This window comes from Homo sapiens, chromosome 5, assembly GCF_000001405.40.
Source record: "Homo sapiens chromosome 5, GRCh38.p14 Primary Assembly".
NCBI lineage: Eukaryota > Metazoa > Chordata > Mammalia > Primates > Hominidae > Homo > Homo sapiens.
In genome coordinates this window covers 13,760,865-13,775,537 of record NC_000005.10, presented here as the reverse complement: position 1 = coordinate 13,775,537, position 14,673 = coordinate 13,760,865, and the positions used below count along the sequence as shown (strand labels likewise).

Genomic DNA, 14,673 nt, shown 5'->3' with positions numbered 1-14,673 from the left:
CTGTCTGTCTATCTATCTATCTGTATTTCTCTCTCTATTATCTATCTAAATATCTATTAATTATCTATCCATCGATCCATTATCTATCCATCTATCTTTATCTGTCTATTATCTATCCATCCATCTATCCATCATCTATTTATTGATTATCTATCAATTACCTATTCTTAAAACAAATTCTTACCTACTGGGGAAGTTTTATTCTCAGCGCTTCACTATTGACAGTAGTGGTTTTCCAATCTGTGGCTTTTAAACACAGAATATTTTAACATGTTTGTGATATAAATTTACAGCACAGTTCTGCCTTTTGTCTTAGAAGTTTGAGAAAAGGCCAGTGATTTAAAATTTAAAGTCCCATAAAAATGTAAATATAACTGGAGGTAAGATTTGAAAAAAAAAAAAAACAAAAAGGAGTGTAGCTCTTAATACAAAAAGTCACTGATGAAAGGAAGGAAATTAATAAAAAGAACAAAAGACCTTAAAAAAAAGATTTTAAAACTCAAGTAGGATATACATGCAGAGCACAGATCAAGAGTATTTCAGAGCTATGTTAAAGTTTATTATGAAATACAGTTATCAATATGCAAGTACTTCATAAAATGCTCTGTAAGGTATTAACAATGGAAATAACAATTTCAGGTGACAGATACTATAATATGCCAAATTAAGATGATTTACATATGAAGCTCTTTTTGTTAAGTTCCTATTTCAGTCATCTCTTCTTTTGTAGACAAAGGTCTTATTGATCCCTCCTTTGTTAATTTCTCATTGTCCCATTCTTTTAAATCTTATCACACCAACACAAACCAAGATTACATGGAGGGCAGAGAAACTTTCCTTTCTTTATCCTCAGTTGCTAGCAAATATCCCAACCTTCATGCATTAATCTATTTGTTCATTTATTCGGAACGTACATATTGAGCTTCATGATGTTATTGGACAGACTCAAGACAAGACAGACTTGTCAACAGACACAAGACAGACTGAATTCTGTACTCCAGAGTCTCTCCCCAGGAAAGCTCGTCCACAGCCTCCTTTATAATACGTGCCATCAATTTTTTCTCCGGTCTAGTCTGTCTCCTGGCTTGAAATCTGTGTACTCAACTGCCTGCCTGGTCCATTCTTATGGATGCTTCACAAGTTTCTTAAACTGAAAATGTCTGAAACTCAAATTGTCTCCCCCTTTCAGGAAGGGCCATTATCGCTCATCAAACTAGGCAACCTGAGACCCCTTTGTCATCAACACCTCCCCTTTTCTCCAACTCTCAAGTCTTATCCATCACCAAGTCATCTCCCTTTCACTGACATCCTAGGCCAAGCTATCATTGCTGCTCACCTGGAAAACCCAAATAGCTTTCTAATGATCTCTTCAACTCTTTCACCTGTCCCCCATCCATCTCACATTGCAGACAGAAAAACGGTAAAAACACAAATACAGTTGCATTTATTTCTGCTTAAAACCTCCATGTCTTCCTATTGTTCTTAGGAAAAATCACAACCTTTAGCAGGCCTTCGTGCTGGGAAGAGCTGATCCTACCTACCTCCCCAGGCTCTCCTGAGGTCCCTTTTCTTTCCTGCTCTGTTTTCCTGGATCCTTGAATATGCTCTTTTTTTTTTCCCCCAGTTGTGTTCCATGCAATGCTCTCCTCCTCCTATTTCTCCCCACCCACTCCTCCTTTGTCTGGATAATGCTGGCTCAGCTAAATGTCATCTCTTCAGGAAAATCTTCCTTTGCTTCCCTCCGTTTCCCCCCAAGCCAGGTCCTCTGTTATCCATTCCATAGCACTCTGTGCTTTTTCTTCTTGGGATTAACCACAGTGTGTAATTTATGTACCTCATTGTGTTAATTATTTGATGAATGCTTACTAGACTAAAAACTAAATTAATGTCTTACTAGACTAAAAACTCCCATGAGGTCAAGAACTACACATCCTTTGTTCAAATTTCAGCAGCTACTGGTGTTTGATACTTATGACGTTGAATGAATGGATCAGACTGTGTAGAAATTCATCATCTTTCCATAATATGGCCTTGATCACTTGCAGTCTTTCTCTAGTTCAACTTTGGATATACCTCTTTTCCCTCTGAACATGCTTTAATCATCCTTATCCTTTCACACTAGTCCCTCTACCAAGAATATTCTTCTCCATCTTTTTTATTTATTCAATCTCCAAGGCTTAATCAAGATACATCACATCCTTCAATCCTCCTTTGTTCTCTTTGGAATATTTGAAATTTTCCCATTTTCTTGGACCTCCTATATCTATAACACTTATGCTTTACATAATTTACCTGCACATTTAAATCGTTTTAAATCTTTTGATAACCAGTAATTTTTGTGGTTATAGCTCCAATTTAGTCTATTTACAGCCTGCATACTACATAAATGTTTAATACTATGCTAGTCATAGTAATGGATAAAAGAACTAAAAGACATAAGACATGGTTTCTTTCTTCAATAAATAGAAAATCTTGTTGGGAAAATCAATGTCTCCACACCCAATACTAACCTGCCTAGTGTTATCCTGAAAGAATACCATCTGTGAGTATTAGAAGTACTTAGACACTTAGGGATTTCAGTGTTATTTATTCTTTTTAGAAAATTAGCAACAAGGTTTCTAGAAAAACTGTTATTTTAGTTGCCTTAAGGATATTGATTCTGAATTAAATTATTACCTCCAGCTGCATCTAGAAAGAAATATATCATTCGTTTGTGTTAGCATTTCATTTAGATCATAAGAAATATTTCCAATAAAATAAAATATTACATTATTATGTGTTTTTCTAATTTAAAGAAGCCCCTAGGGCTGATACTGGATTTTGTAGTAATTTTAATAACTTCTAAATACCTTTGGAAAAAAAGTGAGTTTTTTATATGTATGAATTTAAATGGACTGAATCTGTTGATGAATCATTTAAAGAAAAATATGCTTTATGTTGTAAAATCCCTGGAGGTAGCCCCAAAACTGGCATTACTGCCTTGGTGATGGGATATTGAAGATGACAGAAGGGTTTTCTGGCCTCTTGACTGAATCTCAGCAGGCACGGGTCACTCTAAGAGGGAGTGTTCTGCTTCTTTCTGTAACCTTTCCTGCACCAGAGATCCTGGGTCTGTGGAAAAATATACTTAGAATCCATCCTGATTTTATTCTCTTTGACTTTTTGGAGAGACAAAAGGACAATTTGCTACGTAAAGAATAAGGTCACCATTATTGATACTGTTTGTTCAGATAAGAAGAAAGAAAATCATTACATGATAAATACAAGGAAGATTTCAGAAAGCGGGCACTTCCCCGAGAATATCCCATAATGCCAAGTAAAGCATTGATCATCATGCCTGGCACATGGTAGACATCGCAGCCATTGTGGTTAACACCTACACAAAATGTATCATAAGTATGAATTGTTCTATGGTTCCAGTACCTAGACTTGAACTTCTTAGAGTTTAAACCGTTCTTTGTACTGGTTGGCTAACTTATATGAGAAAATGTGACTTAATTATTGCCTTTTGGTATATGGTAAACTGTTTTTGTAATGAAGCCGATGAATTGTCTCTATTATTTACATAAATGTAAATACAGCCCCACAATAACAGCCTTAAGAACTTAATTTAGTGATTGGGTACTGATGGTGATAAGTACTATTTGTATGTCTTTGCCTTTTTAAGCCTTGCTTACTTGATTCATTTCTCTCCCATTTTATTGACCATATTTCTCTTTACAATACTTATATACATAGGTTGTTTCTTCTGAGATACATAGAAATGGTTGTGATAATTTTAACCGTATTTTGTGTGATGCTTGTAAATTCCTTGGGGTTGAGACCAAGTTTCACGTTCCTCTTTCATTCCATGGCACCCGTCGCAGTGGTGGCTCCGCAACAGGCATTCAGTGTACATGGTGATTGATGAGCCTATTCCCATAGCAGGGAAGGCTGTCTTAGAATTGGTCCCCCATTTGGCAATGTGGGGAAGGTAAAGGTCTCCAACAGGAGACTTTTTACCCAAACATTCTAAAAGAATACTGTAAATAAGAACTGACCACAAATGACCAGCTGCCACATTTAAGAACAAGATGACTCCAGCATAAAAAAATTTAGTGATGAGCGTTTCCACATGCCAAATGCAGTCAGAGCCAGGGTGGACTAAGGGTGTGATAGGTTCTGAGTGACAAAATAAATGGCATTGTTAAATATGAGTACCAGGTGGGCACTGATTTCTGAGTTATTTGTACCATTTGTCCTGATGTAAACCATAAAACAGGTTGGCTGCTGACCAGAACCTGCAGCTGTGTAGAAGAGATGTCTCTGCACAAGCACCAGGCAACAAAGAGTGTTGATAGGCTTAAAGTGTTTTTATAGTTTTATATATACAACAGAAAATAAAATTGTTGATGTTATAGGCCTGGGGCCAAAAATGCTGACACAGATCTACCTAGCTGGGGCTACAAAAATGGTTTGCATTCCTAAGAAATGTCTAAGTTTTAGAAATAAACAGTTAACTTTTAAAAGGGTAACTTACATACATATTTCACACACTGTCATCTTTATTCTCTCTAGTGTCTGAACACTTCCTCACTTCCTATGATATTGACTGCAGTTTGGAAATCAAGAAGGAGGTGGTCCAATGCATGGGCTCCTTCCAGGATGGGGTGGCTGAGAAGTGTGTTGATTATTTTCAGAGATTCCGACGTTCTACCCACGTGACGCCCAAATCATACCTCTCCTTTATTCAGGGCTATAAGTTCATATATGGAGAAAAGCATGTGGAGGTGCGGACCCTGGCCAACAGGTAAGTGTGATGTTCTTATACAAAGCTATATTAAAGCCGTGGCTCTCAACCAGGGACAGATTTGCCCTGGTGGCTATTTTGCAATGACCGGAGACATTTTGTGTATCATAGCTGTGGCGGCAGGGCAGGGAAGGGGTACTGCTGGCATGTAGTGGGTAGAGGCTTAGGGATGTTGCTAAACTTCCTGAAGTTCTTTTCCTCCACAACAAAGAATTATCCAGCCCCAAATGTCCGTGGTGCTGAGGTTGGGAAACCCTCCTCTAGAGCCTATTGACTGTTCCTTGCCCAGTAGGATAAATTATTGCCAGGTTTTTATGTGGCCTACTGCGTTCTATAATATTGATTGACATCAGGATAGAAATAATAGACCTGGACGGGAGTTGCGAATGCAGACATCCCCTCTTCCCTCTTCTTGCCCTTCTCTTCCCATCCCTTCTGAGTGACTGAGAGGGAAAAGCCAGGTTGATGCATATGTTCACTGCCTAAGGAGTATCCCTGCTTCCCTGAAGTTTCTTCCAAATGTCACTGCTCTGCCCTATGCTTTTCTGATCAGATCATCTTCCTGAGCGTGGCTAGAATCAGCCAGAGTAAGGAATCCCTGGGTGGGCAGTTACACGAAATGACTCGGAGGGTTCCCATCTCTATGGTCACGTTATTTCAGGTTCAGGCAGGCAGCTAGTTCCTTCCTACAGCTGTTCTGATGGCTTTAAATTGGTTTCTTAAGCCCACATCATTCTTCTTTTGACTTCATATGTCTCTTTTGAAAAACAGGCATTATTTTCCTTCCTGCATGACTGAGCTTTAAGCATTTGAAGTCTATTGTCATTTAGCCTAATGTCATTAAGTATGTTTCCTTCGTGATACAGATTCTAGCCTTACTGTCGTTCCTAATTTCATGTCGTGTGTTCTAGCAGGTTCGCTGTTCTTGCACGTGGTCTGTAAAGAACATACATGTTATCAGTCTAGAGTCAAGACTGGATCTGTATCCTTTTTGCTAAGCCCTCTTGGGTTTGCTACTTGCATACATGCAATCTTCAGATATAACCATTACCACTCATTATTGGACCAGTACTTGAGAATTGCATCCAAGTCCTACACATTTTAACATTGCTTGCTTGGATTTTCAATCCCAGAATGAATACTGGATTGGAAAAGCTCAAAGAAGCTTCAGAGTCTGTTGCAGCCTTGAGTAAAGAACTGGAAGCGAAAGAAAAGGAGCTACAAGTGGCCAACGATAAAGCCGACATGGTGGGTGGGCATTTACACATGTGCCACATTCCTTTTGAATTCTCAGTTCACAAGTGTTAATGATCTATGCATATTCACTGGCTATAACTAGTGAAGTATACATTAACTTCCATTGGAATAAAATACTCTTAATTTTATGTATAAAAAACTGGGTAAGTGCAGGAGGCGGAGCTTGCAGTGAGCCAAGATCGCGCTACTGCACTCCAGCCTGGGCGACAGAGCGAGACTCCATCTCAAAAAAAAAAAAAAAAAACAACAAAACTGGGTAAGTGAACAAAATCAACAAATCAAGGCAAAAATGTGCATTTTCAGCTGGATGTTTAATACTGTTTGGTGAAGTATTGCTTGCTTTATATTGAATTAGGTCTTAAAAGAAGTGACAATGAAAGCACAGGCTGCTGAAAAGGTCAAGGCTGAGGTACAGAAGGTGAAGGACAGGGCCCAGGCCATTGTGGACAGCATCTCTAAAGACAAAGCCATTGCTGAAGAAAAACTGGAAGCAGCAAAACCAGCTTTAGAAGAGGCAGAAGCTGCATTGCAGGTGCATCTATGTGATATAACAGATGTCAGCTTTAGGGCTTAAGAGGCAGACTAATGCTAAAAAGATGAATAACAGCAAGGAAATGCTCTACTGGTTCAGATGAAAGCTCTATCCACTTGAGTGATTTCAAGTAATATTTTCTGCTTGAGACTTTATTAGCTCTTTATAGGTTTTGCCTGTTCTGCTTAACATCTCACACTCTTCACTCATCAATGTTGGGCAATGCCATATACTGGTGGCCAAGAGTCCTGGGTCCTCATTTCAACTCTGTCATCAATAAGCTATGTAATGTTGGAAAAGTTACATCAACTTTCTAAGGCAACATTCTCTCATTCATTCATTGAGGCCAATGGAGTAGGTGATCTGTAAGATACGACGTTTTCTGTCTATGAATTACCCAAATAGAGAGCTGCTGGTCTGATGTAGCACATTAATGAGAGAGTTTGAGCAGGCTTCCAACGCAATTAAACAGTACAATTGTGTATTAGTCTGTGTTCACACTGTATAAAGATGTTACCTGAGACGGGGTAATTTATAAACAAAAGACGTTTAATTGACTCAGAGTTCCGCATGGCTGGGGAGGCCTCAGGAAACTTACGATCATGGCAGAAGGTGAACGGAAGCAGACACTTTCTTCACAAGATGGCGGGAGAGAGATCAGGGGAAACTGCCACTTTGAAACCATCAGATCTCCTGAGAACTCACTCACCATCATGAGAACAGCATGGGGGAAACTGTCCCCATGATCCAATCACCTCCCACCAGGTCCCTCCCTTGACATGTGGAGATTACAGTTTGCGATGAGATTTGGGTGGGGACATAGAGCTAAACCATATCAAACTATGTGGCAATACACCAATGGCAAAATTACAAAAGAGGTTGGATTTTGAGAAAATGAAATGAGTTTAGTGAACTAGGCCACACCTTAAAGGCTGGTCCAGTTTTGAAGACTCACTTTTACTAAGAAAGTTCCAGGTATGTACAAACTCTTAACATTTTGACATCAGGTTACATAAATCCATACAACAAATAAGACAACAAATCTTGTGCAAAGAATGTGTCTCTTCCTATCTTGATATTAATGTGACTTTAACCAGCTCAGAGCAAAAATAAAAAATACCTCCAGATGTTAGATAACTGTTCTATTGCCACAGCATATAGGAGATTATATAACAGTCATATTTCTTGGCCTGCAGAAAAGAGAGGACTTTAATGCTTAGGTGAAACAGGTTGAGTTTTTGTTCCCCTCTCCAACCTCTTTTACCTGGGCATCTAACACAGCTGAGCACCATGCTGTTTGAAAATTATTTTTAAAGCTAAAGTAAAGTAAGCATGCCTAGCCCTTACATTTTATATAACTTTAATTTGACCCTACCCTACTTTCCTCACTGGCTGCTGTTCTATTTTTCTCTTTTCTTTTATAACTGTGCACCTCAAATAAAGGTCTGTTTGCCATTTTCAGTTCTCTACTACACATTCACCCTAACTTCCAGCTGTCTGGCTTTCATAACTGCTAGTATTAATATATTAAAACAGGCTGGGCATGCTGGCTCACGCCTGTAATTCCAGTACTTTGGGAGGCCGAGGTGGGCAGATCACCTGATGTCAGGAGTTTGAGACCAGCCTGGCCAACATGGTGAAACTCTGTCTCTACTAAAAATACAAAAATTAGCCCGGCATGGTGGTGTGTGCCTGTAGTCCCAGCTATTCAGGAGGCTGAGGCACGAGAATCACTTGAACCTGGGAGGGGGAGGTTGCAGTGAGCTGAGATTACGCCAGTGCACTCCAGCCTGGGTGACAGAGTGAGACTCAGGTCTCAAAATAAAAAACAAAAGCAAAACTATATATATATACAAACCTTTTCAAGGTATGTAATTACATTCCTAATTTACCAAGTTTAGTGTTTTTTCTTTGTCCTCAGTCCTTGGAGAAAAAAATCATTCACTTTTATGTGAAGGTCATTGGTTACTGTCTTTTGATAGAAAGGATGCAAATACAAACCAGATGGATGTTTTGAAGATCTGGAAGGAAGGAATATATACTATTTGTCTTAGAGATAGGATTGTTTCCAATTCTTACATTTAACACTTTTTCAATACTTATTCCATAGTGAGTTTTAGGTGATTGAGCAGTTATTATCAACCAAAACAGGTGTATGTGACTATTAAATCATTTACTCTATAAGTGTATACATACTAGAAATGGAATGGAACTTTTCTAAGAGAGAGCTTAGTAAAATTCTTATTGCTCAAGTCCCGTCATTTAAAGGTCAGTTCCTAGCTAAGAAACCTCTAATTATTCAATCTGTCAGCCCTGTGGCTACCCTCTGGTGTCAGTCCACAGTGACGAGCCTGAATTGTTTAAGAGAGAGAGGCAGATTCTTGACCTACATAGCTAATAAGTAAAAAAGCACCACAAATACTGTAATTTTCCTGGTTTTGAACCTCGAAATCTACTTATGTGCTGACTATTCTTTTTCTTTCAGATTATGCCTTTCTTTTTTCTGGCACAAAGCCATCTGTGCACTTTTAGAGAAGTCACAGCTCCTTATCTGCTCGCCAACATTTCTTTCCTGTCACTGCTAGTTTGAATAGTAGAAATGTGAACTTGTTGGGACATGGTGTTTCTTTGGGATTAAATATGCATCTAGACCCTGTGGCCTGCATCTAACTTAAAACAGTTTTCTGTCCTCTGTTGAAATAGCAGCATTTGGACATGCAAGGTTTGCTTGTCTGTGCTTTCCTATCTGTGGTTGGGTGATCGTTCCTTTCATCCCCCAGACCATCAGGCCTTCGGACATCGCCACTGTTCGCACGTTGGGCCGCCCCCCTCACCTCATCATGCGGATCATGGATTGCGTACTGCTGCTGTTTCAAAGGAAAGTCAGTGCTGTGAAAATTGACCTGGAAAAAAGCTGTACCATGCCCTCCTGGCAGGAATCCTTAAAATTGATGACTGCAGGGAACTTTTTACAGAACTTACAGGTTGGTAGTTCAGTGGTGATGGGCTAAGAGGGAACTCATTCTTCACTGGTGTATGAGTCCTTTTCGTAGAATAAGTTTCTAAAAAAAGAACTTACTCTACATACATGATTTTTTCAGAGTAAAACTTTGTCTCAAATATAAAACATTATAAGCATTAGAGTTTTTCCTGACAGATTTTAGTTGTATTAAAGCATCATCAGTGTTATGTATACTTCAATAAAAGTTAAAAAAATCATTTTAAGAAGACAATAAGTATGTATTTATATTATATTCACATGAATACAAATATTTGTATTTTGCATTTCTCAGTAATTTTTTAGTATTAATTTACAGCTTTTTTAATTTTATGAGATAGAACTTAACATGAATAAATGCACAAATTTTAAATGTATAACTTGATGAATATTTACATATGTATATACCTATTTGTGAACACTGGAAGAAAAATATATATTTTCAGACCCCAGAAATCTCTCTTGTGCCCCAACCAAGTCAATAACTTTCCTTAAGATAATTATATCCTTACCTTTATCCAGATAATTAGCTTTGCCTGTTTTGAAATTTGCATATGTGAAATAATATTGTATGAACACTTTTGTTTTGACCTCTTTCATTCAACATGTCTGTGAAATTCATTCTTATTGTTGCAAATGACAGTCTTTCTTTTTTCATTGTTATATAGTTTGCCAGTATATAAATGTGCTGTACTGTGTGTGAGAAATGTTTAACAACTGATTCTTAAGGGAGAAAGGAAAACAAAAAAAAGAAAAAAAAAGCTCTAATTTGAAGTCTTGCCATAGTGTAAGCACTCCCATGATGGCTGTTTTAAGCTGCCAAAATGATGTTGCTGAATCTAGAGTTGAGAAGAGGTGCATGGTAGCAGCCACTGTGTAGTGTTTCCACCATGTAGATACAATACTTGTAAATGACCTCAAAAACACAGATGGTAGTCAAATTTAGTCTAAGAATTAGCAAGTTATGAGCTTTGACTATAATCTTTGTTTGAGATATCATTTATTTAATTGTAAGCTTATATATTTTAATTTTTAATAATGGCGGAGTCTAACAAGTTTGCAGAATTCTTGGAAATTTAACAATCATTTTTTACAAGCCTGTTTGAACCAGCACCAGTGTGAAACACTATAATATGCTTCATTTTGTTTGTCCCTTGTACTTTTGATGAATTTTGGGCTTAGTATTAATTTATGGCTATTATAAATCAAGCTGCTGTGAATATTGGTCATTTGGTGGCTCTAGGTATGCATTCCTGTTGGTTTCATACTCAGGAGTGGAATTTCTGGGACTTTGGTTATACACATTTAATCAGCTTTGGTAGGCAGTGCTGAAGAGTTTTCAAAACTGATGTATCTATATATATACCTACCAGCAGTGTATAAGTTGCTCAACATCTTCACCATTTTCTTTTAGCTACTCTGATGAGTTTGTAGTGGTGTCTTATTATTGTTGGCTTAATTTGCATTTCCCAACCTTTTCATAGGCTTATGAGCCTCTGGGGAATTCTTTTGTTAAGTGCCTGTTGGAGTTGCTTGTCCAGTTAATTTTTTTTATTACTTTGTAGAATTTCCTTATATGTAAAATATGACTAATTTGTCATTTATATGTTTGCAAATATTTTCTGCTGCTTTCTGGCGTTAGTTGTTCCCTCGATTAATGGTGTCTTTTGATAAACAGAAATTCTTAGGTTTAATGTAGTCCAATTTCTTAATATTTTCCCTAATAGTGCTTTCTATGTTCTGTTTAGGAGATCTTTGCCCACATCCAAGGCAGATTTCTAGTTTTCTTCTGGAAGCTTTATTGTCTTTTCTTTCATGTTCAAATCTCAAAACAACTAATTGGGAATACCCAGTCCACCTCTATTTCCCAAGTTGTGAATTCAGCACCATCTTTCTTTTGGTTTTCAATTCAGCATTGCTCAAGTGACTGCTATGTCTGGGGCCTGTGGTGAGGTGCACACAGCAGCTATAACGATAAGTAGCTTATGAAACTAGTGGGCCAAACAGACTTGTCCCAGATAATTATAATATGAGACTCTGCCAATAGACTTGGACTTTGGATGGAATCCTGACAAGTGATTACACGTTCCTGACATTTACCTGGTGGCAAAGCCCCTGCTCTTGGACTCTCCCTTGCATTTGTCATTGTCACCACTGACCTTCTGTTGCTCCCAGACATTCATCTGGCTTTTTTTGGGGTTACAATTTTTCAAGTCTCATAAAAATGAGTTACATTAAACGAGGTCTGAATGAGAGTGTGTTCTACTATACATTATGTGTTCTGCGAAGGTTTGTGTCACTAAATTATTTAGTTGCTAAATTTCTTTCCGCTTGGAAAACATTTAATCATCCTCTTTTAAATGATCAAACACCACTTTTAAAAGATCCAATTTCATTGTTTGGTCAGTCTTCTTTTTGTGATGCAGAAAGGCATTCTTAATTCATTTCTGCTACTATTTTAAATTTTTATCCCACCAGAAGATAATAATTCTCTCATATTCTTGATAGTTCTATGATTAAAAATTAATTCATCACCCTCAAAGCCTAATGTCCAAGTTATTATCTTCACATTTTAGGTGAGTTTAATAAAACTTCTGTCTGAATGTATTAAGCGTTTAGTTGCTGATAAATGCTAAATATGTATATCCTCAGACTGAATACACCTAGGTGTGTTTAGTTTTCATTGTGGATTTTATGGGTTTGTAATTCATCCATTTAGGATTAATGACAAAAAATCTTTATTGCTTTGGAAATTCTAATAACAATATTAGTGTTCATCACCTAAATAATTTACTCTTTCCCTGGATCTCATTATATTTATTTAAGGTTGGTATCTTTTCTACAGAAGACAAAGTGTACTCTAACAGACTTCTTTGCTGTCATTTCTTACTGTATTTTTACTTTTAGGACTTTTGCCTCATATCTTAAAATAGTGACAAAATATGATGCCCTTCATTCATTTGTGGTCGTTCAGTAGTTTCAGTGGCATTGAGAGCATGATGCAAGTATGACTTTATGGAAAGAAGTGTTTCGACTTTATTTTACTCTTTTCTTCCATAGCAATTCCCAAAAGACACAATCAATGAAGAGGTGATAGAATTTTTGAGTCCTTACTTTGAAATGCCTGACTATAACATCGAAACTGCTAAACGCGTATGTGGAAATGTAGCTGGTCTTTGTTCCTGGACGAAAGCTATGGCTTCCTTCTTTTCTATAAACAAAGAAGTACTGCCTCTGAAGGTAAGCCTGCTAGGCAGACCTGGGTGAAGGTGGCTGGGCGGAGTCTCCAGGTCGACCCGTCTTATCTTTACAGGAGCACATGTGCCTGTGGCTTCTGGTGTTAGGATACTCAGGTCCATGGGGAGAGTGAGCATAGAAAGGCCAAGCATGGGATGTTTCTTTCTTCTTTGTAATCCTGTTCTAATCAGAACCATATGAGCCTCTAAGCAGGGACAGACTCTCTACAAGGATGCTCCCTACAGGTCCATTGTGGGCTGCTCGATATTTTTCCTCCACAATGTTAACTTGAAAAAAACAAAAACAAACAAACAAAAAACGCTGCAAACTGTAGCACAGAATCCTCTGCTGATATTTCAGATCTTTATCCAGAGAATCCTATGAGTGAGGTAGGGTCAAGACAGAACATGCTGAAAGCTGGTCTTAGCTTGGCTTAAGACGTGATGTATTCCTCCCTTTTCCATTTTTGTTTTGTCTCTCAGGAAAGAAACTGAATATCTGAATATTTGTTATTTAATGTGACTTTTTAGACATGCTTTTTATTTCCTTTGTGTAATTGAATCCTTAAGCTTCATTTTTGCATATTCCTCTACCATTAAAAGGTCAGTCTTCAGCAAATGGAGAGGCAATGGAGAGTGGGTTTTTTGAAAATGAAATGCTGATGTCTCAAAATCATATCTCATGGCTTGGTTGATTATTTTGCTTTTGTATGAGTCTCATCTCTCTTAATCATCAACTACATTCTACTTACACTTGTTAACTACCCAAGAAACTTAACAATCATCATACAAATAATCAAGAGTATCAGGAAGACAGGCATGGAGTTGCAAGTTCTATTTTGTTTCTACTTGTTGTGATACCAGGACCATATATTCAGCAATTGAGGCTCTTGAGGTCCCAGGACAACCTAAAGGGACAAAGAGTCATTTGAGTCCGAGAATTTCAGAGCAAATAATTGATGTCATGCTGTCTGACACCATGGATATTGTGACTATTGAAGACTTCAGCATAGCTCAAAAATGGACAATCTGATATTGACTGAATTAGAACCATTATATCAAGTGAAAAGTACAGTCATTCTTTGCATACTTTTCCAGTGGGTAACCATGCATAGTGTCTTTTTTTTTTTTTTGAGACGGAGTCTTTCTCTGTCACCCAGGCTGGAGTGCAGTGGCTTGATCTCAGCTCACCGGAAGCTCTGCGTCCCAGGTTCACGCCATTCTCCTGCCTCAGCCTCCCGAGTAGCTGGGACTACAGGCGCCCACCACCATGCCTGGCTAATTTTTTGTATTTTTAGTAGAGATGGGGTTTCACCATGTTAGCCAGGATGGTCTTGATCTCCTGACCTCGTGATCCGCCCACCTCGGCCTCCCAAAGTGCTGTGATTACAGGCGTGAGCCACTGTGCCCGGCCACATAGTGTCTTAAAGAGAACTACAGTTAAGTTCATGATGCATAGTTTTTTTCTGTTATTGTTGTCATTTTAAGTACATAGCTGAAATTGTTAAACATGGACATTCTGAACAAGGCTTGCATAAGAACAATGAGATCTCTTCCCCTGTATTCAATGCCATCCACATTTCAGCTTTCAGCTTGTCTCAAGACAATCTGGGTCCTGCAGTAGGAAGTGAAGGGAACACTATCAGTAGTGGGAACCTTTTTATTTACTCCTACAACCTGTGCTTTTCTTTCTGAGAAGTCTGTTCTCTTATATTCTTACAAGTATCTAGCATCTTGGACCACTCAGCTTGTCAGGTTCCTCTTACGTCAGTCCGAAAAATACATGCTGTTACACAGACCCGCATTCACTGTGTAGGGAGGAGTAGAAGAGGCAGTGAGTGCATATTGTCACCAGGTGGTT

General features: G+C 38.1%; 1 protein-coding gene across 11 annotated transcripts in view; it reads left to right on the top strand.

Moving 5' to 3' along the window:
* Positions 1 to 14,673, top strand: part of DNAH5 (dynein axonemal heavy chain 5) — a 321,491-nt gene that overhangs the window by 236,281 nt on the left and 70,537 nt on the right. For all 11 annotated transcript variants that reach the window (XM_017009177.2, XM_005248262.4, XM_047416886.1 and 8 more), the window contains 5 exons: positions 4,558 to 4,789; positions 5,923 to 6,037; positions 6,402 to 6,578; positions 9,359 to 9,562; positions 12,637 to 12,816. In XM_017009177.2, coding sequence (XP_016864666.1) covers positions 4,558 to 4,789; positions 5,923 to 6,037; positions 6,402 to 6,578; positions 9,359 to 9,562; positions 12,637 to 12,816 — 908 coding nt within the window. The remainder of the gene's footprint in view (positions 1 to 4,557; positions 4,790 to 5,922; positions 6,038 to 6,401; positions 6,579 to 9,358; positions 9,563 to 12,636; positions 12,817 to 14,673) is intronic.